The 26,392-nt window shown below is 47.6% G+C and overlaps 1 protein-coding gene and 1 long non-coding RNA gene across 2 annotated transcripts in view, besides 4 other annotated features; both read right to left on the bottom strand.

Moving 5' to 3' along the window:
- LOC124901869 (uncharacterized) overlaps window positions 1-14,346 on the bottom strand; it is a 36,226-nt gene extending 21,880 nt beyond the window's left edge. Inside the window, exon 1 of the long non-coding RNA XR_007060782.1 lies at window positions 8,553-14,346. This is a non-coding gene — a long non-coding RNA (uncharacterized LOC124901869). The remainder of the gene's footprint in view (window positions 1-8,552) is intronic.
- DLGAP2 (DLG associated protein 2) overlaps window positions 1-26,392 on the bottom strand; it is a 970,849-nt gene that overhangs the window by 372,701 nt on the left and 571,756 nt on the right. The gene's annotated exons all lie outside the window — the stretch shown is intronic.
- Window positions 5,526-5,726: a silencer, noted in NCBI's record as "peak6885 fragment used in MPRA reporter construct". NCBI's record gives its function as "represses an SCP1 promoter by STARR-seq MPRAs in K562 erythroleukemia cells {active_cell/tissue: K562}" and the evidence as "EXISTENCE:reporter gene assay evidence [ECO:0000049][PMID:32103011]".
- Window positions 14,091-14,591: an enhancer, noted in NCBI's record as "H3K4me1 hESC enhancer chr8:1269351-1269851 (GRCh37/hg19 assembly coordinates)". NCBI's record gives its function as "activates a minimal SCP1, AML or CMV promoter by ChIP-STARR-seq in naive and primed H9 embryonic stem cells {active_cell/tissue: H9 hESC(naive and primed)}" and the evidence as "EXISTENCE:reporter gene assay evidence [ECO:0000049][PMID:30033119]".
- Window positions 14,592-15,092: an enhancer, noted in NCBI's record as "H3K4me1 hESC enhancer chr8:1268850-1269350 (GRCh37/hg19 assembly coordinates)". NCBI's record gives its function as "activates a minimal SCP1, AML or CMV promoter by ChIP-STARR-seq in naive and primed H9 embryonic stem cells {active_cell/tissue: H9 hESC(naive and primed)}" and the evidence as "EXISTENCE:reporter gene assay evidence [ECO:0000049][PMID:30033119]".
- Window positions 17,330-18,529: an enhancer, noted in NCBI's record as "CDK7 strongly-dependent group 2 enhancer chr8:1265413-1266612 (GRCh37/hg19 assembly coordinates)". NCBI's record gives its function as "activates an origin of replication core promoter dependent on BRD2, BRD4, P300/CBP, MED14 and CDK7 cofactors, with strong dependence on CDK7, by STARR-seq in HCT116 cells {active_cell/tissue: HCT116}" and the evidence as "EXISTENCE:reporter gene assay evidence [ECO:0000049][PMID:35650434]".

Here is a 26,392-nt window from a genome sequence, read left to right as displayed (position 1 = left end):
AAGGACATAAATAAACATAGCAACAAAACACATAAATCATACTCAGGGTTCCCTGGGCGTCCTGCGTCCTGCACAGACAATATGTGTTCTTCCTGGATTGCTCTCGACTTTTCCTCCATCCATCAAACTCCTACTCATACGTCATGACCAGTCCAAAGCTTCCCTGCTTCCAGAAACTTCCACCCAGCACCGCACCCTGCCCTACCAACAATCGCCCTCCTCCTCTGAGCTCATTTAGCAGTTGGCACGTCTTTCTGGGCCATCATGTCCGATATTGCAACGTGATTATTACCCATTCCTCCAGAGGAAGCACACTGTCCCGTTTGGTTTTGGGTCTCTGGACACAGCATAGTGTCAGCCCACAGAACACACTCATGTGTTGCTGAGTGTGAACAGGACTGTCTTAGAGTGAAAATGTAATGCCAAACTCGATTTTCTAAATTCGTTGTCCACAGTGACCAGCTGAAGGTTGTTTCTCCAGCAGCATCCTCATTAGGCCGCCCTAAAGAGTCCAGCCTTCTGGTCACAGCTGGTTTGGAGCTCGAAGCCTCCTGATGGCTTCGGTGTAGACTGAGAGAGAAAGGCCACACTACCTCTGCTTTGTCGCTCCCAAGAAATCCAGAAATTATCTGGGCAGTGACTCAACCACCGTGTCTTGGATGAGGAGTTCCCTTCTGCAGAAACGTCAGACCATGGTTCCTAGAACTATGGTTTGCCCTGAATTTCTAGACAATGCAGCAACAGCTACGATTTACTTAGATGCTTATAAGATTTCTGTGTTTTTAAGGCCTGCTGGAAGTGCCTGCGAGGGCTGGGTCCCGGGATACTGCCTGATGGGAGATGGCAAACTTGTGCCCCGCAGGGAGGGCCAAGGCGGGGAGGAGAAGAAAGAACATTCAGAGGAAAGAGGCGAGAGAGGCAAGACAGCCGTGTTAGTGAGGCAATTTCGTGTCTCTTCCTTTACAGCGTGTCAACACATGTATCATGTATTTACCATGTTACATTATGGCTTCTCGGTGGTATGAGAAATAGCTTCCATGTGGTGCTACAGAAGGCACACGGCCTGGCTGCTGTGGAGGTGTTTACCCTGGAGTGCCGAGAATGCCGACGTGGATGCCACACTGGTCATCCCACCGGAGTCCATGCATGGCCCACGGTGGGTGCATGTCTCCACTGGGGGGGTCGAGGGCAGGTGGGGAAGGGCCCACCTCTCACACTCACATCTGCGTGACTTCCTCACTGGAAGCAGCTTTAGGAATCATACCAGTGGCTTTTACAGAAGATTTAGTGGAACGAAAAGTAGGCCTGAGAAATCCACAGCACGTTCCCACAGCACATATTTACAGAAAATTCACCGACTCCTTGACATATCCACCATTTGATGTGGTTGGTTTTGTTGATGTCATTTTTGGGTTGGTGACAGGTGGATGAGGGCCGACGCCAGGAACGCTGGGTCACAGTGATGGCTCTAAGGGAGCTGCCAGGGCTGCATGGGGTGGCAAATGCTGACTGCCATGGCTTCTCAGCTTAACCAGCTCAGGTGTGCAGCCAAAAGCTGTTGATTTTCATCACAGGAAACATTTCCTTTGCTTTCAAGGCAGCCCATCAGAATGTCCAGAACCTCACTGAGGAGCTCTCAGACTCACTGGCATCACTGTGTGTCACTCTTTCCAGTCCAGGCATGAGCTGTTTGGGGCTCTCAGGGGCACAGGGGTCTCTCAGTGAAATCTGGACTCTGTGGGCCTTCCTCACGCAAGGAAGCCTCTTCCCCGGCATGGTGCCCTCAGTTGCGGAGCACGTGGCTCTCGCCGTGTTGGCCCCTGTGCCACCGCATATGCGCCTTCAGCAGCCCAGGGCTGAGCCTCAGATGGGAGGCAAGGATGCACCTGGGATCTGACTTTCTGTTCCCCCTGCTCTGCTAGATCTGAGCTTCTGTTCCACCTGCTCTGCTAGATAAGTTCGGGTGGAGATGGACCACCCTGTGTCTTACCTCCTCTAAAGAAAGTTCCCCATTAAAATTGGGTATGAGAATAGGTGAGAACCATATGAAACTGAATTTGAGACGAGTCTCACATATGCAAGTCCAGACCTGCCTGGAGAGCCCGCGGTTACATCGGCACACAAATTACCTCCGAGTGCCTTTCTCACGCCACAGTCGCTGCCTATTATGAGGGCTTGATATGGGCTCCACAGTGCTCAGGCAATGGAGGTGTCCGGATGAACAAACCCTGCACACAGGACTCACGGGAGGAGAAACGGGGTGTGAACCCCTGTCTGTGGAAGAGCTCACAAAACATCGCTATTTAGACAATCTGATGACGGGATGGGAAAGTGTCAGGGACGAGATCACAGTTGGATAAATGAAGACGGCCCTGGACATTAGAATATGGCAGCAAAACCTCTTCAACCTCTGCTTCCTCCTCCCCAGGGAAGGGAGACAGGGAGACGCCCACACCCCAGCCCTGCCCGTCCCCGTGTCCTGAGACTCGAGGTGCCATGCTCTGCATGGCCTACCATGGGCTCTGCTCCCCTGGCCAGGGTAGCAGTGGGTTTCTCCTTCCTCCATCTCTGTAATGTGCCAGAAGACAGTCTGCGGAGGCTTCTGGATGGTCCCTGATCTCTCTCCTTGTGCTCACGCCTGCAGCCGGAGGTCCATCTGCTTAGGAGGAACAGACCGCCCGGAGGCATGAAGAGCCTGACCTCCTCCAGACACCATCGCTTTCAACACCTCGGGCGGTGTCACAGGGCTGCCCCTGCCCTGATGCTCCACACCATTCGAGGAAGGGGGGCCTGACGAGGCGGCCACATGCTTGTGGAAGGGAGTAGGCTTGCTGCTGGGGGCTCTCTGAGGAAACATCAGCAAGTGGTCCCACTCCCAGACACACCCAGAGCTTTCAACACACGTGTCTGCTGCACCCAGCAAGAAGCCCACGTATTTTCATTCATCCCGGCTACGCTGATCTGATGCTTGGTTATGAATGGTCCAGGACCCTAGAGAGCTACCTGCAGCCTCAATGGCTTTTCCAGGTCTGGGGCGTGAGAGGTGAGGCTGAGCTCACCAGTGACTCAGACGTGAATTCTGAGTGCTCCTCGCGGCTGCAGGTTGAGCCTGTGGAGGCCAAAGGCCAGCCAGTCACTTAGACGTGTGACCTGGAGGGGGTGAGTGTGCTTCTCAGGGCATGTGTGACAGCCAGGGGCAGGGAAGCTCCGTCATAGCAAGTGTGTGTGCATCTGTAGGAGTGTGTGCACAATGACACACACGTGCAGATATGAGTACACAGATGTATCTACGCTCACACACACACATGCATATACTCATGCAGACACATGTGTACACAGACATATATACACTGACACACGCATATACTCACACATGCAGACACACACTAACACACATGTGCAGATATGTGTACACAGATGTATACACACACACAATACATGCATATACCCTCGCATACAGACACACACACACTGACACACGTGCAGATATGTGTACACAGATGTATATAAACACATATACACATGCATATACTCACATATGCAGGCACACTCACACAAACCATCACAAGCACACAATGCAAATAAACGCAAATACGCTCACATTCGCACACACACACTCACACACACCCCCATTTCTACACCAGGACACATTGACTGCAGCAAAGGAAGGTGGCTGTTGGGGATGGGCTGTGCCAGGCCATGGAAACCCCTCACAGAGGGCTGCACCCCAACACTGGTTCACCAGCAAAAGAAAGAAGGCGCTGCCGTGTGCTGCCAGCCCTGGCCCACCCTGGGGCTGTTCAGGGGGTTGGCAGGAGGTGGCTGTGCCCTCCCCAGTGGCTCCCTAGGGATTGTTTGCTGACACATGGCTCCCTGACCCCAGTGTTGCTCTACTGGGAAGGTTGCAGGCCTGAGAGGAGGGATCCACAGCCACTCTCCCTCTGCTCCTGCCTGTTCACAGATCCCAGAAAGGTGCTTGGATTTACACGTATCTCAGAGATATGAGAGAAGGTGTGCCCAGCCCATAAGCAAAACAAGACACGTTTTAAACGTCGGAAGGACCCTTCTATAAGTGGGTCATCTTTCACATCCGGGATATTTTTACCACGTTTGTCGTATACCCAAGATGTTGACACCAAACTGAGATTAACACAAAAGAAGCATCCAAGAAAAACACAAGACGGATTATATTATTAAACACCGAGGTGGATGAACAGCAAAGACTCTAAACGCAAAGAGTTTACAAACACTGCCCAGATCCGTGTCCCTAAAAAATCAGAAAAGGCTTCCCTGGGCAGGAGGAGTCTGTTGTTTGCCCGGCATGGTGCCTGGAAGGAGGGCAGGTTTGCAAAGGGGAGGGACGGACACATTTCAGGCTCGAGTCCGTAGGAAAGGCCAGCGACCTGCCCACTAGCCCACCCTGGGCTGTGAAACGGGTGTGTGAGGACACTGTGCAGCCAACCCACCCAACCAGCATAACCCCAGACACTGTGGCTTCCAGGACCTCTGAAGGAATTTGCGGCCTTAGTTATGGCACACAGTATGGCTTCAACTAGCACATCAGTGCCACATCGCTGCATTTCTACCTGTCGACTAAGAATCCACTTCCCCCAGTGCACTGTGACGGCCATTTGATTATTAACACAGATGAAAGAAAGCGTGCATGAGTACCCAGCAGGCAGCTAAGCCAGCTAGGAGCAGCCCGTCCTCCCTGGCATTGCAGTCTCTTCACGCTCCTGTGAAGCGGTGCTCCCACCCAGAACTCAGTCCCCATGAAGCGGTGCTCCCACCCAGAACTCAGTCCCGGTGAAGTGGCGCTCCCACCCAGAACTCAGTCCCACCCAGAACTCAGTCCCCATGAAGTGGTGCTCCCACACAGAACTCAGTCCCCGTGAAGCGATGCTCCCACCCAGAACTCAGTCCCTGTGAAGCTGTGCTCCCACCCAGAACTCAGTCCCACCCAGAACTCGGTCCCCGTGAAGCAGTGCTCCCACCCAGAACTCGGTCCCGATGAAGCGGTGCTCCCACCCAGAACTCAGTCCTGGTGAAGTGGCGCTCCCACCCAGAACTCAATCCCACCCAGAACTCAGTCCCCATGAAGCGGTGCTCCCACCCAGAACTCAGTCCCACCCAGAACTCGGTCCCCGTGAAGCGGTGCTCCCACCCAGAACTCGGTCCCCGTGAAGCGGTGCTCCCACACAGAACTCAGTCCCTGTGAAGCGGTGCTCCCACCCAGAACTCAGTCCCACCCAGAACTCAGTCCCCGTGAAGCGGTGCTCCCACCCAAAACTCAGTCCTCGTGAAGTGGTGCTCCCACCCAGAACTCAGTCCCACCCAGAACTCAGTCCCCGCGAAGCGGTGCTCCCACCCAGAACTAGTCCCTGTGAAGAGGTGCTCCCACCCAGAACTCAGTCCCACCCAGAACTCAGTCCCCGCGAAGCGGTGCTCCCACCCAGAACTCAGTCCCTGTGAAGTAGTGCTCCCACCCAGAACTCAGTCCCACCCAGAACTCAGTCCCTGCGAAGCGGTGCTCCCACCCAGAACTCAGTCCCTGTGAAGTAGTGCTCTCACCCAGAACTCAGTCCCTGGGCGTCAGCACCACGGCCAGCACCTGTTGGCTCCTGCCACCACCTCCTCACTCCCACAGCCACACCTCTCGCAGGGGCAAGATACAAAGAAACCTCGACCCCACATGAGGGACTGTGACCCACCACAAACATGGGAAATGGAGCAAAGCCACTTTAATGGACATCCGTTCTGTCCCTGGGGTCCGCAGCTCACTCAGTCCCAGCCACAGTCAGACAAGCAAGTGAATCGGATGGGGAGAGGAAGCTCTGGGGTTCTACTGCACGGCAGGGCGGCTGCAGCTTGCAGCAATGAGTTGTGCACTTCAGCAGAGCTAGAAGACAAGGTTCTGAAATATCCTAGGCCTGTTTGGTATGAGACACTTGGTGGAAAATCCAGCCCCAGTTTGATAGGGCTCACAGCAGTGCTAACTTGGGCTCAGGCAGGTACAGCCGGGGCTAATGCACCCCAAGCCCCAGGGTCTCTGCTGTTAGAAGGTGACCTCACGCACGGCTCATCTTCATTCACCCCCATGGTCTCTGCAGTTAGAAGGCAACCTCACTTAGGGCCCATGTTCATTCCCCTCGGCTACCCCAGGACCCGGCACAGAACCAGGACGGAGTAGTCAGTAAGCATCTACCGAATTGAACTTCCCCAAATAGAACTCACTTGCTCTTTGAACATGCACACACATGCACACACTCTCTAAATGAAACTCTTGGGAAGAAATGATAGATTTGAAAAATTTCAGAAATCATAAAAATAATATTTTGGTCTAAAATGACCTTCGAAAAACGGATCTAGCTGAATCTAACCAATTAATTAATAAAACATTGAAATGGAGTATGAATTCTAAATGAAATGCCATTTAATCTCAATCAGCCAGAAATTTCAGGAATGCAGCACTCTCTGGTGCACTTGTGCGATTACTGAGAGTAAACTTCATTCCATGAAACAATTTCAGAAATTAAAGATACTTTTAAAGACTGACTAAAAGACATTGTTTTTAATCCATAAAGGTTTCTTCACATCTCTTGAGAACTCCAGGCTGATCTGGGCCCAGTTTGGTGCATACATTTGAATCTGTCACCTTCTGAAGACTTTTCTTCCCACTCGTCGCTTGTCGCTTGTCACCTGTCGCCTGTCGCAGTTTAGCCAAGTCATCACGAGAGCAGCACACATGTGCCCAGCATGTGGACTCTGCCTGCAGATCTAAGGCTGAAAAGTGCCTTCCACGCATAATTCATAACACAGCTACTCAGAGTGTTAGTGCTGCAGAGGATCAGACCCTTCATTATTTCATGCCATTTCCTGAAAGCTTCTACCACATTTCTCAGCAAACCACCGAAGTGTGTACATGAGCATCTGTGTTCGGCCTTTCTCAGAAACACAGCTCTGCATAAACACCCCGATACGTAAGCGGCATCCCGACATTTCCGCCGTCTCCCGTTATTATGGGAAGCTTAGTTCATTTTGCTGTGGTTGTTGTTCTGTCTTTACTACGAGTTTTTAAAAAGAATGAATAATGACGATCACTAAATTTAAGAATATTAACTGTAAGGCCAGGTGCAGTGGCTTCCGCCTGTAATCCCAGCACTTTAGGAGGCCAAGGCGGGCAGATCACCTGAGGTCAGGAGTTCAAGACCAGCCTGGCCAACATGGTGAAACCCTGTCTCTACTAAAAAAAACCAAAAAACAAACAAACAAACAAAAAAACAAAAAAACACACACAAATTAGTCAGGCATGAGCCTATAATCCCGCTACTCGGGAGGCTGAGGCAGGAGAATAGCCTGAACCCAGGAGGCAGAGGTTGCAGTGAGCCAAGACTATGCCACTCTACTCCAGCCTGGGCGACACAGTGAGACTCCATCTCAAAAATAATAATAATAATATTAACTGTACAGCACTTTGGGAGGCTGAAGTGGGTGGATCACGAGGTCAGGAGTTTGAGACCAGCCTGGCCAATGAGGTGAAATCCTGTCTCAACTAAAAAAATAAAAAAATTAGCCAGGTGTGGTGGCACATGCCTGTAGTCCCGGCTACTTGGGAGGCTGAGGCAGGAGAATAGCTTGAACCTGGGAGGTGGAGTATGCAGTGAGCTGAGATCACACCACTGCACTCCAGCCTGGGAGACAGAGTGAGACTCTGTCTCCAAAAAAAACAACTATAAAAAGGCCCTTGTTACAGAAACACAGTCTCAGCCTCACCCATGAAGTCTAAAGGGCTCTGCTCTGCCTCCAGGGCCCAAAGACACAAACCAGCAATCCCTGTGGTCTTGTACAGTCTGAGGAAGATCCATCAGAATTAATGAAAAAGTGGAGAATGGATTCATTTACAAGCACGTCATTTTATTTATTTATTTTTTTGAGACGGAGTCTCCCTCTGTTGCCCAGGCTGGAGTGCAGTGGTGCCATCTCTGCTCATTGCAAGCTCCCCCTCCTGGGTTCAAGCCATTCTCCTGCCTCAGCCACCTGAGTAGCTGGGACTACAGGCGCCCGCCACGACGCCCGGATAGTTTTTTGTATTTTTAGTAGAGATGGGGTTTCATGGTGTTAGTCAGGATGGTCTCGATCTCCTGACCTCGTGATCCACCTGCCTTGGCCTCCCAAAGTGCTGGGATTACAGGCATGAGCCACCATGCCTGGCTCACCATGTTTCTTTACACTTGCAAGAGATTTAAACTTTTTAAAAAGGTCAAGTTCAACTTCTCTGGATCTATTTTCCACAAGCTATAGCAAGCAATAACTAAATGACGAGAAGTCACTAAACCAATAAAAGACAAAGGAAGAGATGGAATGATGACTCAGGCATACATCATTCTCATGAGCCCAAAATACTCTACAGAGACTAATGACCTTTTACATGAAACCCACTGCAGTCCCCGTGGAGCCACAGGTGTGGAGCTCTGAGGCTGTGCAGTGGAGGGTGGGCCCATCACATCCGCCTTGGCCAAGGGACCCTGGTTGGTCACTTAGCTCAGCCTTACCTGTAAAATTGCAAAGAAATACACAGCAGTGTTAACGTCCTAAATGGTGAAATGTGAGACGCCTCGGAACTGTAATCTCGCTCAGTGTCAGGAGGATGGAAGGCAGGCTCCGCTCTCAGGAGACGGCTGGGCCACGTGGAACCAGGGCTCTGCCTCCAGGGGCCTGCCCGGGATTTTCGCAATGGAAACATTTGCTTCAGAATCACTGCCTAGGCCTTAGTTCACCCTCATAGCCCAAGGCCTGTGTCATTGCTCAAGACATTTTATGCTGGCTAAAGAGCACGGCTGATCTTATGTAACAGTTTTTTCCACTTTTTCTCTTCTCCCTGTATTGTCACTGTGTTTACATGTTTCCACAACAACATATACTACAACACCAAAGGGAGGAAGGTACTGTGAAAATGGGATAAATCAGAGTCATGTGAAGAAATGAGAGATGGAAACAGCTGTGAACTTAGTCTCTCCAGTTGGAAAAACAGGAAGAAGAAACTAAGGTTCAAGCATGTTCTTTAAAGGTTTTAATTTCCCAAATGGAAAGCTCCTGTTCACTTGACAAGCCCAGACCAAGACTAAGAGCTCGCCGTGTCCTGAGTGACAGGCCCAGACCAAGACTGAGACCGAGCACGCGCCGTGTCCTGAGTGACAAGCCCGGACTGAGACCGAGTGCGTGCCATGTCCTGAAAGACAGGACCGGACCGAGACCGAGTGCACGCCGTGTCCTGAGTGACAGGCCCGGACCGAGACCGAGCGCGTGCCATGTCCTGAAAGACAGGGCGGCCCAGAGCTCCTTTCCTTACATTTCTTCCTTGCTCATCAGTGAGTCAGTGGGAGAGAGTTTTGTTAGAATGTGGTACACTGTGAAGTGATATTAAAGTACTTTTTTAGTTCAATATTTCCACTGTTCCAGGAAGAACAAAATATATGTGCAATAGTGAAATACAGATTGTCTAATTTCACTGATTCTGCATACAAGTTAAATGCCCTTTTATTTTTATTTAAAACTGCTGTCACACAGTATAAAGACAAATGGTAAAAGCATGCTAATAGTTAGACTTCCAATCTTTATTCAAAATAGCATTAAGGAGCAAACAAAAAATACCATAGCAAGTCAAGAAACCATCGAAGAAGAAAAAAGCTGTATAGTTGAGTCCACTTATGGCCATTTTTCCTGCTTATTGAACAAATGGCCCATCTTTTCATTCTACACTGGGTCCTGAAAACCAGATGGCTAACCCGGAGGCAGAAACTCACATTCCCATGGGCCTTATAGCTTACGGGGGAAGATAATGATTAGACCTGTAGTTACCACTACAATAAAGATTACAAAATAGAAAAAGGAGATCAAAACAGAAGACTGTGGCTGGAAAGCCATCTCCATGGACGGTCCTTGCAAAAAAACGATCCAAAAGGAGCTGACGACAACTCTTGATACAGTAAATTAACATTTCACCCGTCTCAGGAAAACAGACCTGAGTCTGTCATTTTTCTTTGGCAAGCGGTACCAAAGTTGCTTTAAACTCTCTAGCAGCACACGCGAGAGGAATAATGAGAACCCCGCCAATCACTGCTGGAGGCTGCTCCGTTCAGGCCCTGTAGGGTATGCTTGTGTCCCCTTAATCCTTTCAGGGGAGATCCCTTTTGCATCCCAAATAAAAGCAAACGTTAACTAGATTTAATTTGGCCTGAGCTAGCAATGTATGCGTACAAAGTTTTTTACAGATAAATCCGCCGAGCACCCCAAATCTTGAAACCATGGGAGGCAGTGAAAGCTCACTTCAAAAACGCGCTACAGCAGCCGGGCTGCAGGGTCGGGGGACCACACCCAGGGACCAGGGCTGCTGGAGGTGGGAGGACGCCCCCTGCAGGCAGATGGCTGGACACACAGGCAGCTTTAACTCTAAGATGCTAAGTTGTTTGGGAACTTCCTTGGTCCAGGAAAGAAAGCTTGGTGAGACCATCGGACATCTCACTCTTGGGGTCGTGGAATGACTGTCTCATTGCGACATTGAACATCTCAGGACAGCCTCGCTGAGAAGACCATCCGCTACACCAGCTCTGGGGGACTGGGGGAAAGTGACCCTGCAGAGGTGAGTTTTAAACTAAGACTGGAAGACAAGAAGGTGAGTGTTGGGTGAGGTGGAGGCCAAGGATGCCAGGCAGAGCATCCATCGGTTCAGGTTGAGAGGTCTAAACTGAGAGAATGATCTGGCCTGGGGAAGTACAGGGGTGGTTTCGGATATTTGTGAATCCGTAATTCTCATCCCGAGTCTGCCTCCAGGGCAAGGCTGAGCCAAGCAGGTCAGCACGATCTGGAAGACGAGGCTTGTGGAGTCTTCCTTTATTCTTGTGCTCTCTGCAGCAAGAAAACAAATCAGCTCCGTATTTCACGGGACTGCCAAGATGAGTTTCATTTTAGATGCTGTGACTCCCGCTCCTCTGATATTTTAGGAAGAAAGACAGGAACATGGAAGTCGTGCCTGCCCAAATATCTCATATATGTTAAGTCCTCAACAGTTAAGGAATTGTGAAATGGCTGAAAAGGACATGGCTCAAGGACACAGGAATCAATTCCAGTCCAAAGGCGCTTTTGAGAGGATAACACTTGTCCTTACATTGCAAACCACGCAGCTTAAGAAAACCCTATGGAGAATGGATGTAACACTGTGTCCTGGACAGTTTTACATCCTGAGCAATGTGTTAATGGGTAAGATGATCTGGGAAGAAGGTGCCTGCTCTGCCTGTGGAAACATGTCGCTTGAACGCTGTGGAAGAATTTCAGACAGTAACGCAGACGAAATCATGTGCATTTTATAAAGGCCAGCTGAAACATCAATCTAACTTTCTTACAGTGTTGTAAAGTCAAACTCAGGACTAAGTTGAGTCAGTACAGAAGAGATAGGATAGGAATGTGCTCTCTGGGACAAAATGGCCTGGAGCTCAATGAAAACTCTGTTGTTATTGAATTACAAACACCATTCTGTTCTTATGGGGGCAGAGACAGTGGTTTGTCCTAATTTGGGAAAGACTGAATCATGTTTGAAGCAACTTAAGAGCAAACAGTCCATATTCAAAATACAGACTTTGGGGGTCGTCTTCCTCCCCCTTCAATGGACGCTTCTTATTTCACTAAGCCAGAGGCCCTAGAGACATAGCTTCAGCCTTTCCGGTTGGATATCACAGCAGACCAGACGCACACTTCAGTTGCCAGATGAATCTGGTGTAAAGAAACAGCAACTTCTTTACTGTGTCGAAACGCGCCACATTAATCCTATTAAATAACAGCTGGGCTTTCCGAATGAGGCAGAGCATAAATAATAAACAAATAATTAGGAAACGTGATCCATGAAATGCCCTGGTTTCAGCTAGTAGTACAGCCAAGCCCTCAGCTCCAGGAACAGGTGGTTAGGAAAGGAAACACGATGTGAAACTCTTTCTTCAAAGATCCAAATAAAAAGGTGTCCTGGGTGGCACAGGCAGCGACCAGTCATTGGAGCGGAGGCAGGGCTCCTGTCTCACCTGGCAAGTTTGGGATTGTTCTAGAATAGGGTGCTAAGGATAGCTGCCCAGAAGAGGCCACAGGGCATTGGGGCATTGCTGCCCGCTCCGTATCTGCATCCCCGTACAGCAGGAGCTGCTGCTGCCTGCCCCACGTTCGAATCCTGGTTCAGCAGGAGCCATTGCTTCCCGCACTACACTCGCCCTGGTACTGCGTCTGCAACCTGGTACAGCAGGAGCCACAGTGTGGGGTGGGAGGAAGAGCTCCCTTGCCATGGTTGTCACGTAAACTTACTACCGGGGCCACCCAGACTCAAAGCCAGAAGCGGTTTAACCACCTTTCCTCCCGGAGGATGTGCATCGTGGTTGTTTAAAAAGCCTTAAAACTTGTGAGTTTCAGGCCGGGTGCAGTGGCTCATGCCTGTAATCCTAGCACTTTGGGAGGCTGAGGCGGGTGGATTGCCTGACCTCAGGAGTTCAAGACCAGCCTGGGCAACACAATGAAACCCTGTCTCCAGTAAAATACAAAAAGTAAGCCGGGCGTGGAGGCTGGTGCCTGTAGTCCCAGCTACTCAGGAGGCTGAGGTAGGAGAATTGCTTGAACCTGGGAGGCGGAGGTTGCATGAACCGAGATCACGCCATTGCACTCCAGTCTGGGTAACAGAGCGAGACTCTGTCTCAAAAAAAAAAAAAAAATTGTGAGTTTAACAGTGTCAACATCTACTAAGCACTTATTCTATGGGGCATGGAGGGGACAAAGGTGAATTTTAAAAATAAGACAACTTACAAGGAGTTAATAATCTACAAAGTGAGGCAGACACTCCGATAATAGTACACAATGATTATAATAATTATGCACTGTGACAAATGATACATCATAGAAACCTACAAATATAGGACCATTAAAGAGGAAATTATTAACTCGGCTTATCAGAGAAGGCCCTGATGCAGGGGGGAGGAGCCGATCTGATCTATGTTTCCCAGGGCAAGAAACGCAGGGAATCATCTTAGGCTGAAGGAACAACATGTGTGAAGTCACAGAGGCAGGACGCAGCACGATGGGTGGGTGCATGCATTTCCATGGAACAATACACGTGAAATCACAGAGGCAGGAGACAGCACGCCAGGTGGGCGCACACATTTCCATGGAACAATACGTGTGAAATCACAGAAGCAGGATGCAGCACGCTGGGTGGGTGCATGCATTTCCACAGATCAACACGTGTGAAGTCACAGAAGCAGGACGCAGCATGCTGGGCGGGTGCACGCATTTCCACGGATCCACACGCGTGAAGTCACAGAAGCAGGATCCAGCACGCCGGGTGGGTACATGCATTTCCATGGACATTTCTCTATTAATACATGTCCTGATTTGCCTTTGTTGTATTTATTGTGGTAAAGAATGAACATTTTAAGTTTGAGATTTCGAAGTTTTTTCAGTATGCTTGGCTTTTAACTAAAATTGTATTTTTGGAAAATATGAAATACTCGAATTTCTATTAAATGATGTACATCTGAAATATTTAGTGGCTAATTAATTCAAAATTAAAGAATTCACCTATGTTGAAGGAACAGTTTGCTAGAAAAAAATAGGTATTCACTTAATATCAAGTTGGGACTTTTTTTTAAATCATTAGTTCACTGTTATCTAGGGTTTCTGCTAATCTGTTGGCTCACTTACAAAATTAAAACCCATTGGAGATTACAAAAGATATAAATTCTAATCTCTAGAATTTAAGCACGCTTCAGGGCTTAAGCTAGATTTTAAACCACAACATAAAATTAAATGCCTGTATTTACTGAATCAGTTTGTTTGGTTGCTCTGTAAGCTGCAGAATGGGTCTGAGAATATTAATTCCACTAATTGGAAACAAAGAAAGGAACCCTTGTTTATCCAGAATCCAAATAATCACCAAGCACATTCTTTGCCTTAGAATTCTAATTACACATTTTCCCCTTTAGAATTCTAAAGTCAGAGAATCACTAAATTTTGGATGTTATAAATGGGGAAGCCGAGTTCTAGAGAAAATCCATTAGTTCTATGCATGTGATTTTAAACATCCTGATAAGAGCTTCAATTCCTTTCTAATACTAAAGGTGAAAATGAAAAAAAGTATCCTGATGTAAAAGCAATTATCCGCTGAATTCCTGTGAGCTGTGGAGGAAAGTCAGCTCAGGACTTAGAAGGCAGAGGCAGTGAACAAGTCCTCCCATGACAGCCAAGCAGCATGGTGGTCACGGACCATGCATACGCACATGGATGCGGATGCACGCACACATGCAGAGACGCATGGATGCAAGCACACACAGACACATGGATGCATGCACACATGCAGAGACACACGGATACACATGCACGCACATGGTACGGATGCATAAGCACATGCAGAGACACACAGACACACACGCACACGCAGAGACACACAGATGCACACAGAGACACACAGATGCACGCACACGCACATGGCACAGATGCACGTGCACATGCAGAGACACAGATGCACACACACATGCAGAGGCACATGGATGCACGTGCACACGTAGAGACACATGGACGCAGACACATACGGGCACGGATGCATGCACACATGCAGAGACACATGGATGCACACACACACAGAGGCACATGGATGCATGCGCACACACAGAGGCACACAGATGCATGTGCACACTTAGAGACACATGGATGCCTGGGCACAGAGGCACACGGATGCCCACACACACGCAGAGGCACACGGATGCACGCACACATGTAGAGGCACAGGGATGCATGCACACACACAGATACATGTATACACACAGATACATGCACACACATGCCCCTACACACCTGTGCATACAGACATGTGCACACACACACGAATGCAAACACAGAGAGAAACACACGTGCACACACAGACACACACAGGTGGCAGCACCTCCAGCCTTGGCTGTCACAACACTGTTCTTGTGGGGCTATGGCTTGGGGGAAGACCGCAGGAGTTGGAGAGGTCTGGCCATGACTGGGGTGGGTGTGCACAAGGTGCTGGGAAGTGGCAGCTGGTTCAAAGCTAAGAGAGGTGAGAATGTCGTGCTTGGGGACACCTGCAATTAGTCCCATATGACCAGAACTTAGAATATGTTCGAGAAGTTGAGAGAGCTGAGCATGAAGCACCAGGCTGAGCTCAAGCACAGGGGTGGTTATCACATCACGTGGGACCCACGGCTCTGTGCCCGTATGTTGCCCGTTCACCCGTCTGCCCGGCTCCTGATGCCTTCCCAGCCTCGGCAGACAGACACCCTGGGCTCCACGCACCCACCCTTTTTCACTGTGTCCCGTCCTCCTCCTCCGGTCCGGCTCCAGGGTTCAGTGTCATCTGTAGGATGCGACGCTACGGTTCCCTCGAGTCCTGGCCTCTTTCCTGGACTCCAGGCATCTCCTGGTAGCTGCCACCTTGTGTCTGCTTGGATCTTTACTACACTCAGTGGGGCTCAGGAAGAACACATAACTTTCCCCTGCAAATCATTTCATCCTTACCCTTCCCCATTTCCGGAAACAGTGCCACCATGACTAAGGACTCAACACTCAGCTGGAACACAGGCCGTCCCCTTCAGCCCTCCTCTTCCTCACCTCACTCTCATGGTCTCTACTTGCAGAATGCACCCAGAGCCCAACCACTCCCGAGTTCCTCAACTCCCTGGGCCCAGAGGCCGCAACACCTTTCGTCTTCATGTGCGCTTACCTTTGTCTCCTGCCCTATTCTCCCCCACCCCTGTTACTCCACCAGCATCTGGGTTAAAGCTAAGTCCTGGCACATTCTCAAAGGCCCTGGGTCACCCATCGTCCCCGTCTCTTCCCTCTGCCTTTGTCTCCTGTGGTTTTCCATGCTGACTGCAGTGCTCCAGCAACCTGACCTTGCCATTGTCTGGCATGTGATCTACGTTTCCTTCCGGTCTCTGGCCCCTTACAGACAACATCTCCCTGCCTGGAAACTGTCCCCCAAAGCTGCTGATGTCCTGCCTCTTCCCATCGTTCTGACATCTTTTCCAACGTGCACTCCTCAGAGAGGCTTTCCCTTAACTGACATGAGCCCCTCCCCAGTCACTCTCCAGGCCCTTTTCTCATCTCATCACAGCTGATGGACGTCCAGCAAGCCTACCTTCCTAGGAGAATACAAGCTCCTTGAAATCAGTGATTGTGACTTTTAACTCATGCTGTATTCCCATAATGAACACTCTGTTGGCTCCACGTCAGCTGCCTCCACACCCACTCCAATCTCTCCGAGGGTGCAGAGCTGGAAGACAGAGGATGGCTGAGTGAGTGGGCAGACACACTCATTTCCTAGAATCCTGCCAGGAGGTTTCCACACGTGGCCTCTCTCCCAACACCTGCATGAACCTCTGATCTGGGATTTGAGTCAGAGAAGGTTGGTCTCAGGTTTCAGGGGATTCATTTTACCAGCACACATTGTGGCAGAGGCGGTGGTAACAATTCCAGAGAGCTTAGCTGAGAACTTAGCAGTTCACTGGGGTGGCAGCAGACGCCCTGACCAGGGAGGAGGGAGGGGAGCCATGGGGGCCCCAGGCACTGCAGGGAGGCAGCGAGCACAAGATCCCAGCTGAGCTTGGCCCTCCAGCCCTCGGAGACCTCAGAGGCCGCTAATCCCGCCAAGTCTCCATTCTGCTTCAACGAGCAACAGGGAGCCCATTGTTCGCCACCGAGCTCGCACTGATACACCACCTAAATCTCCTGAAAGCCCCATAAAACAGAGACTATGTCGATTCCCATCTCACAGGTGAGGAAAAACCATGCTGAGCGTTTTGAGTTAATCCTAAAATCTATGGGGACCCACTGGACCCTTCTAAGTGGTGAAAGGACATCATTAACTCTGCCTTTTAGGAAGACCATTCCGGCAGCTGTTGGGGAACACATTGGAGGCCCCAAGGATGGGCGAGGGGGCGGGGGGGGGGCTGATCACTGACAATGGATTAGTTACAATGAAAACAGTAAAAATATATTAAGTACGAATAGGAACCACTCAATTTTCATTTTGAAAGTGGTAACTTAGTATGTTGCTTGGCAGTATTTAACTTATAGCCACAGATCCCATTTTCGTAACATGAGAGAACTGCCTTTCGACATCGGCGGGGGAATCTGTTCCCCTAGGTGATAAACTGGAGGTAACGAACCGGCCCTGACAACAGGCCTCCTGTGGAGGCCTAAACTTCAAAGTCAGGAACAGCCTTTTCTAGAATCCAAGGCGTGAAGAGGGCTGCCATTTTGCTAACTGGCATATACTAGATACGAAGAAACGAAGGTCACTAACAATCTGGGTGAACTAGATATGGACAGTGGGGAGCCCTGTGGGAGAAATACAATATGAAGATGGTTTTGAAAATAAATCCAGGAAAGTAAAGCTGAACTGATAAAGCTATACATTCTTTGACAACCTAAACACCAACCTTTTTATTTCATGTTGTTGCCACGATTTGGAGAAATCAAAGTTTGAAACAGGACCCTTCAAGAGTTGCAAAGAAATGAAAAGCAGCAAAGCCATTTGTAGACTGTTGGAGAGACGCTGCACTCACACACGCTCTATTTTTAAACGCTGACGAGTGTCTCGAGTGTAGACCACTGTTGGAGAGACGCTGCACTCGCACACGCTCTATTTTTAAACACTGACGAGTGTCTCGAGTGTAGACCACTGTTGGAGAGACGCTGCACTCACACACGCTCTATTTTTAAAAGCTGCCGAGTTTCTCGAGTGTAGACCACTGTTGGAGAGACGCTGCACTCGCACACGCTCTATTTTTAAACGCTGACGAGTGTCTCGAGTGTAGACCACTGTTGGAGAGACGCTGCACTCACACACGCTCTATTTTTAAAAGCTGCTGAGTGTCTCGAGTGTAGACCACTGTGGGAGAGACGCTGCACTCGCACACGCTCTATTTTTTAACACTGACGAGTGTCTCGAGTGTAGACCACTGTTGGAGAGACGCTGCACTCACACACGCTCTATTTTTAAAAGCTGCCGAGTTTCTCGAGTGTAGACCACTGTTGGAGAGACGCTGCACTCGCACACGCTCTATTTTTAAACGCTGCCGAGTGTCTCGAGTGTAGACCACTGTTGGAGAGACGCTGCACTCGCACAGCCTGTATTTTTAAACGCTGCCGAGTGTCTCGAGTGTAGACCACTGTTGGAGACACGCTGCACTCGCACAGCCTCTATTTTTAAACGCTGCCAAGTGTCTCGAGTGTAGACCACTGTTGGAGAGACGCTGCACTCGCACAGCCTCTATTTTTAAAAGCTGCGAAGTTTCTCGAGTGTAGACCACTGTTGGAGAGACGCTGCACTCGCACAGGCTCTATTTTTAAAAGCTGCCGAGTTTCTCGAGTGTAGACCACTGTTGGAGAGACGCTGCACTCGCACAGCCTCTATTTTTAAAAGCTGCCGAGTTTCTCGAGTGTAGACCACTGTTGGAGAGACGCTGCACTCGCACACGCTCTATTTTTAAACGCTGCCGAGTGTCTCGAGTGTAGACCACTGTTGGAGAGACGCTGCACTCACACACGCTCTATTTTTAAAGCTGCCGAGTTTCTCCAGTGTAGACCACTGTTGGAGAGACGCTGCACTCGCACAGGCTCTATTTTTAAACGCTGCCGAGTGTCTCGAGTGTAGACCACTGTTGGAGAGACGCTGCACTCGCACACGCTCTATTTTTAAAAGCTGCCGAGTTTCTCGAGTGTAGACCACTGTTGGAGAGATGCTGCACTTGCACACGCTCTATTTTTAAACGCTGCCGAGTGTCTCGAGTGTAGACCACTGTTGGAGAGACGCTGCACTCGCACACGCTCTATTTTTAAAAGCTGCCGAGTTTCTCGAGTGTAGACCACTGTGGGAGAGACGCTGCACTCGCACAGGCTCTATTTTTAAACGCTACCGAGTTTCTCGAGTGTAGACCACTGTGGGAGAGACGCTGTACTCGCACACGCTCTATTTTTAAAGCTGCCGAGTTTCTCGAGTGTAGACCACTATGGGATAGACACTGCACTCACGCACGCTGTATTTTTAAAAGCTGCCAAGTGTCTCGAGTGTAGACCACTGTTGGAGAGACGCTGCACTCGCACACGCTCTATTTTTAAACGCTGCCGAGTGTCTCGAGTGTAGACCACTGTTGGAGAGACGCTGCACTCGCACAGCCTCTATTTTTAAACGCTGCCGAGTGTCTCGAGTGTAGACCACTGTTGGAGAGACGCTGCACTCGCACACGCTCTATTTTTAAAAGCTGCCGAGTTTCTCGAGTGTAGACCACTGTTGGAGAGACGCTGCACTCGCACACGCTCTATTTTTAAAAGCTGCCAAGTTTCTCGAGTGTAGACCACCGTTGGAGAGACGCTGCACTCGCACAGGCTCTATTTTTAAACGCTGCCAAGTTTCTCGAGTGTAGACCACTGTTGGAGAGACGCTGCACTCGCACACGCTCTATTTTTAAAAGCTGCCGAGTTTCTCGAGTGTAGACCACTGTTGGAGAGACGCTGCACTCGTACAGGCTCTATTTTTAAACGCTGCTGAGTTTCTCGAGTGTAGACCACTGTTGGGGAGACGCTGCACTCGCACACGCTCTATTTTTAAAAGCTGCCGAGTGTCTCGAGTGTAGACCACTGTGGGAGAGACGCTGCACTCACACACGCTCTATTTTTAAAAGCTGCCAAGTGTCTCGAGTGTAGACCACTGTTGGAGAGACGCTGCACTCGCACAGCCTCTATTTTTAAAAGCTGCGAAGTTTCTCGAGTGTAGACCACTGTTGGAGAGAGGCTGCACTCGCACACGCTCTATTTTTAAAAGCTGCCAAGTTTCTCGAGTGTAGACCACCGTTGGAGAGACGCTGCACTCGCACAGGCTCTATTTTTAAACGCTGCCGAGTTTCTCGAGTGTAGACCACTGTTGGAGAGACGCTGTACTTGCACACGCTCTATTTTTAAAAGCTGCTGAGTTTCTCGAGTGTAGACCACTGTTGGAGAGACGCTGCACTCGTACAGGCTCTATTTTTAAACGCTGCCGAGTTTCTCGAGTGTAGACCACTGTTGGAGAGACGCTGTACTTGCACACGCTCTATTTTTAAAAGCTGCCGAGTTTCTCGAGTGTAGACCACTGTTGGAGAGACGCTGCACTCGTACAGGCTCTATTTTTAAACGCTGCCGAGTTTCTCGAGTGTAGACCACTGTTGGAGAGACGCTGCACTCGCACACGCTCTATTTTTAAAAGCTGCCGAGTTTCTCGAGTGTAGACCACTGTTGGAGAGACGCTGCACTCGCACACGCTCTATTTTTAAAAGCTGCCGAGTTTCTCGAGTGTAGACCACTGTTGGAGAGACGCTGCACTCGCATAGGCTCTATTTTTAAACGCTGCCGAGTTTCTCGAGTGTAGACCAATGTTGGAGAGACGCTGCACTCGCACAGGCTCTATTTTTAAACGCTGCCGAGTTTCTCGAGTGTAGACCACTGCTGGAGAGACACTGTACTTGCACACGCTCTATTTTTAAAAGCTGCCGAGTTTCTTGAGTGTTGGGAATTATCGCAAGTTATTTCTTGACTTTCTCCAGGAAGCTTTACTCTTCTCAAAATGTTACTTACTAAATACGGTTCTATGGTGTCGCCGCTTCTGAAAAAACCTCTTTTGTAAAAAAGCGTCACTTAGAAAACCACCGCCACGGAGCGGTGTTCTGGAAGTCCTATTAATAACTAAAAACACGCAACGGCGGCTTAGAACTGCTGGGATAGGTCACCCTTTCAGAGGGCATCTTGCGCCTTCCCCGGTAGGGCACATGGGAGCTGTAAAAGGAAACATGTAGTATTTTTCTTCAAAAAGGTTTAGGATTTACCCATGGAAATTCAGAGAACACTTAGGTTGGTGACAGGTTCAATCCTGTGTGTATCCTTCATAATGAACAAGTGAAACTTCCACGAAAATTCAGAAAAGAGAGAGAAGTGGCACCATAGGGAGACCCCCGAAAGTCCTCGACCTCCGGAGCAGGAGGCGGATAGGGGTGGGAGAGGGGCCCCCAGCAGCCCAGCCCCAGGCGGACAGACCCTCCTTACACCAGACCATGGGCTGCCCCAATTCTCCAATGAGACCCTCAATCTAATGCACACCTGAGAGGCGGTGACACAGGAGTGATGCTGGGAAAGTCAGATGGTGGCTGGAGGGTAACTCGGCCATGTCTCCCCTGACATGTTAAAAGTGTTATTTTTTGGATGGAGAAATCCCAAAATGCTTTTGTTACAGCACAGACAGCTCTAGAGTGTAATTAATTTAATGGAGTTTTAAAAAAATATTGTGTGCCCTTTAATTTCATTACTGTGACAGAATATGCACTTCCAAGGTGAACAGTGCGACGGCAAAATCACTTCAGTTGGCTGCAGTGTGAAGTTGGAATTCCAGGTGCAAAGAAAACCTCTACTTTATAAGGGTCAGTGACCAAAAGTATTTCACGTGTCTAACTCAACAGTAACTCAATTAAAACGGATAACTGAAACGTCTGTGCTGCTATGAAATCTAAAGCAAATAAACGTGTGTTTCTCATCATACAGTTTCATAGGATTTTATGAAAGGTTACAATTTTCAAAATTTGAAACCAATATTTCACATATCTAATTAAGTCAGCAGTAACTCATTTACAGTGGATAACTGAAAAGCGTGTGTTGCTACGAATTCTAAAGCAAATAAACACGTGTTTCGTATCATACAGTTTCACAGGATTTTATGAAATATTGTAATTTTAAAAATCTGATAACCAATACTGAAGTGTGATCATTTTGTGTGGAAAGCTACCGTGCGGTGGTTCTTGGGGGTCAGGTGGATTTGAACCCTTAGTCTTTGATGCTGCTGATGAATATGAGAGGGGGATGGTTATCAAGGTTCAGTTTTGGCGCCAGCTGAACTTGGATCTTGCTTCCTTCTCCCCTCCCCAGACATAATTCAGCCTTCCTACATCTGATATTCAAAAATCTGACCTTTTCCAGTCTGTGACTGAAACCCTCTTTTGTCCTGTAGTGACCATCAGGTTCAGGTGGGACTTGAGGTATCCCGGGACAGAGCCTGCCGCTGTGAAGCCTGAATCCACCCCTGACTTTGGACTGTTACTGAATGGCCTGAGGAAGTGTTATGGTGTTCCACAGGAAAAACCTTTATGAGGAACCCAGCCTCACTACTGTTTGTCCATTCTTGATTTTTCTTCAAAGGTTTATCAAAATTCCGGACTTTACCATTCTCCATAATTAAGGGGGGGAGTATAGGGGAGATTATAGGTGAGAGCATAGCTGAACGGCACATGTGCAGACAACCGGAGGGTTCTCTGAAGACTCACGGATTCCTCCAGAATCCAGTGGTGAAGAAGACAAATTTGTTTTTATTCTAAGTGTCAAGTTTTACATTCTAACTGTTAAATCAACACTGAATATATATAATGCAACGCATGCTGAACAACAACAAGATTCCAGGTACTCATGACTGAGAAACGCTGCACCCCTCTTTACAGACAACTTTTGCTACTGGGTTTCTGGCCTGTTTTGTTTTACAGTGATGTTCTATGTCTATATAAACAGACATAGGTAAATGTCACCCCCCAAAGGGGCAACATCAAATATCTGACCGGGTCCAGGGGCTCCGGCACACACCAGTCAGCACAGACAGTGGCCGGCAGGCACATGTGCGTCTCAGTCCTGACCTCATAAAACACAGGACATCTGGGGTTCTGCATCTTGCTACTTTTAAATGAGACACACTATCTTTGAGATCAGGCCATACCGCACGTAGGGCTTGGCCTCACTCATTTTATGGGCTTCATGGTGCTCCCTGCACAGATGCACAGTGAAGTGGCTGTTTTCCTACAGATGGACACTCGCGTTCATTTTCCATCTTTCATTCCTACAAACCCTGCTGCAAGAAGCAGCTCTCCTTCCACATTGGTGAGCATATGGGCACTTCTATGGGATGAATTCCAAGTTAATTAACTGAGTCAAAAGGTATGTGCATTTAATTTTATTTTTTGTAAATATTTTTTATTCTGGTACAGATGACATAAAATTTGCCATTTCACTCATTTTAAGTGTGTAATTATGCGTCATTAAATACATTCGCAACGCTGCACATGCATTGCATGTCCAAATAGAACCTCTATAATCATTCAGAAATAACTCCCGTTCCCTCTCCCCCAAGCCCCCAGAAACCCTGAATCTGTTCTTGTCTCCATGTGTGTTTTCTTCTTGTTGCTTAAGAGTTCTTTGTACATTTTGGATACCAATCTGTTACTGGATACGTGATTTGCAAAGATGTTGTCAAATCTGTGGTCTGTCATTTCATTCTCTTAACTGTCTTTCAGAAAGCAGAAGTTTTAAATTTTAATGAAGTCCAATCACTCAATCTGTTCTTTCCTAGGTGCCTTCGGTGCGGTCTCTAAAAACTCATCACCAGACTCAAAGTCACCTGGGTTCCCTCTGATGTTAAATTCTAGACCCTGTGTTTTATATTTAGGTCTGTGATCTATGTCGAGGTAACTTTTATGAAAAGGTTGAGATCTGTGTCTAGATTTTTGGCCCAGAATGTGGCCTATCTTGGCGAATGTTCTGTGCGAGCTTGGGAAGAATCTGTGTTCTGCTGCTGTTGGATGAAGTAGCCTACAGATGTCAGATTCAGTTGATTGATGGTATCACTCAGTTCAACCCTGTCATTGCTGAATTTCTGAATTTCTGCCTGCTGGATCTGTCAATTACTGAGAGCAGACACTCAAAATCTCCAGCATTAATGGTGGACTCATCTATTCCTCCTGGCAGTTGTATCAGTCTTTGCCTTATGTATTTTGACACACTGTTGTCAGGTGCATATACATTAAGGATTGCTGTGTCTTCTTGGAGATTTATTCCCTCTATTATTGCATAATGTTGGACAGGAAACTGGATGTCTTGGCTGTGGCTTTTCATAAATGCCCTTTATCATACTGAGAAATTTTCCTTCTACTTCTAATTTTATAAGAGTTTTTTTTTTTTATCATGAACAGTTATGAGATTTTGTCAGACACCTTTCGTGTGTCAACTGAGATGTGCAGGTAGTGTTAATTAATTTTCTTAAACTGAACCACTTTTACATTCCTGGAATAAATCCCACCTGATGACAAGTCTAAACCTTTTAATACACTGTTGGATTAAGTTTGCTGGTATTCTGTGGAAAATTTTAGCATCTACATTGATAAGGGATATGGTTTGTGATTTTCTCTTCTATGACCATTTTTATCGGGCTCAGCTACCACGGTAATGCTGGCCTCAAGGAATGTGTTAGGAATTGTTTCCTCCACTTCTATTTTTTTGGAAGGGTCTGTGGATTTGTGTTAATTCATCTTTACCTGTTTGGTGGAATTCACCAGTGAACGTATCTGATTCTGGATATTTCTTTCCAAGGATTTATTTTTTTATCATTATAGATTCGATCTCTTATTATAAATCTGTTGAGATTTTTTATCTTGTCTTCAGTCAGTTTAGGTCATTTTCATTGTTATATAAATTTGTCCATGTCATCCGGGTTAACTAGTTTATTGGTGTACAATTGTTCATAGTATTGTCTTAAATCCTTTTTATTTGTGTGGTCTGTAGTAATGTCCCCATTTTCCTTTCCAATTTTAGTTGTTTATGTGTTCTCTTTTTTTTTTCTTTGTCAGTGTCATTCAAGGTTTGCCAATATTTTGATCTTTTCAATCAACTGACTTCAGTTTTGTTGATACTCTATTTTTTGAATTTAATTTAATGATCTCTTTTTTACTCTGTGTTAATTCTGTCTGATAGCTTTCTTCTGATTCTTTGACCCATTGTCAAATTTCCAGTTTTCCTCCTGTTATTAATGTCACTGTGGCTAAAATGTTACTTTGACAAAAATTAGCTGGGTGTGGTGGTGGGTGCCTGTAATCCCAGCTACTCAGGAGGCTGAGGCAGGAGAATTGCCTGAACCCAGAAGGTAGAGGTTGCAGCGAGCCGAGAATGCACTACTGCACTCCAGCCTGGGTGACAGAGTGAGACTCCATCTCAAAAAACAAAAAACAAAAAACAAAAAAAAACCCAACTTTTTATGATTTTAGTCTTTTACAATTTATTGAGACCTGTCTTTTGGCCTAACATGTGGCCTACTGTGGAGAATGTTTCATGTACACTTGAGAAGAATGTGTATTTCCACTGTTGTCAGGTGGATGCTTCTGTACGTGTCCGTCCAAACCCCATGTTTATTAATCTTCTGTGTAGACGTCCTGCTTACTATTGAAAGTGGTTCATTCCAGCCTCCAGCTATGATTAGAGCTACCCCTTACTTTCTCCAATTCCATCAATGGTTGCTTCACATATTTTGGGACTCTGTTTTTGATTTTGGTACATATATATTTAAAATCATTGTATCTCCTTGTTGAATTGACCCTTCTGTCAATATATAAATAGCCTCTGTCCTTCATTTTCTTAATTATTGTCTTTTTTGTGGATTTTTTTGGAGTTAACTGTTTTGATTTCCCTTTTATTTCCTGTTGCGTATATATTTTAAAATACTTTCTTTGAAGATAAATTTATAATATTAGGATTAAACATAGAACCCTAGATTTATAACAGCTCCCTTCCTCCCTTGCTGTCGCAGGTTTCATCTTTTTTTTTTTTTTTTTTTGAGATGGAGACTTGCCCTGTAGCCCAGGCTGGTATACAGTGGTTCAAATGATTCTCCTGCCTCAGCCTCCCAAGTAGCTGGGATTACAGGCAACCAACACCACACCTGGCTAATTTTTGTGTTTTTAGTAAAGATGGGTTTTCACCATGTTGGCTAGGCTGGTCTTGAACTCCTGACCTCAAGAAATCTGCCCGCCTTGGCCTCCCAAAGTGCTGGGATTACAGGCGTCAGCCACGGCGCCCGGCCTGTCACAGGTTTCACCTTTACACATTGAGTGCACGGTAACATAGACGTACACTTATCTTTTATGCATTCATCTTTTAATTTCTGTAGCAACAAAGGTGGAGTTACAAACCAAATACATAATCTTGTTGGTTTTCCTGGTCGTCCCTGTATTCACCATCGCTGAAGACCTTTCACTTCATATAGCTTTGAGCTAATGCCGCTGTCCTTTTATGTCAATCTGCAAGGTTCCCTTTCGCATTCTTGTAGAGCAAGTCTCAAGTTCCGTTTATCTGGGAATGTCTTACTTCCTCCTTCATTGTGAAGGATAGTTTTACTGACTATAAACTTCTTAAAATTTTTTTTTCTTTAGGAACTTTATCATCCCATTCTCTTTTGTCTTCCATGGTTTCTAGAGAAATCAAGAGATAAGCTTTTTCTGGAAAATAAATA

The sequence above is a fragment of the Homo sapiens genome, chromosome 8 (assembly GCF_000001405.40).
Source record: "Homo sapiens chromosome 8, GRCh38.p14 Primary Assembly".
NCBI classification, from domain to species: domain Eukaryota; kingdom Metazoa; phylum Chordata; class Mammalia; order Primates; family Hominidae; genus Homo; species Homo sapiens.
The sequence above is the reverse complement of the archived record's forward strand: the minus strand, read 5'-3'. Positions and strand labels throughout refer to the sequence as shown.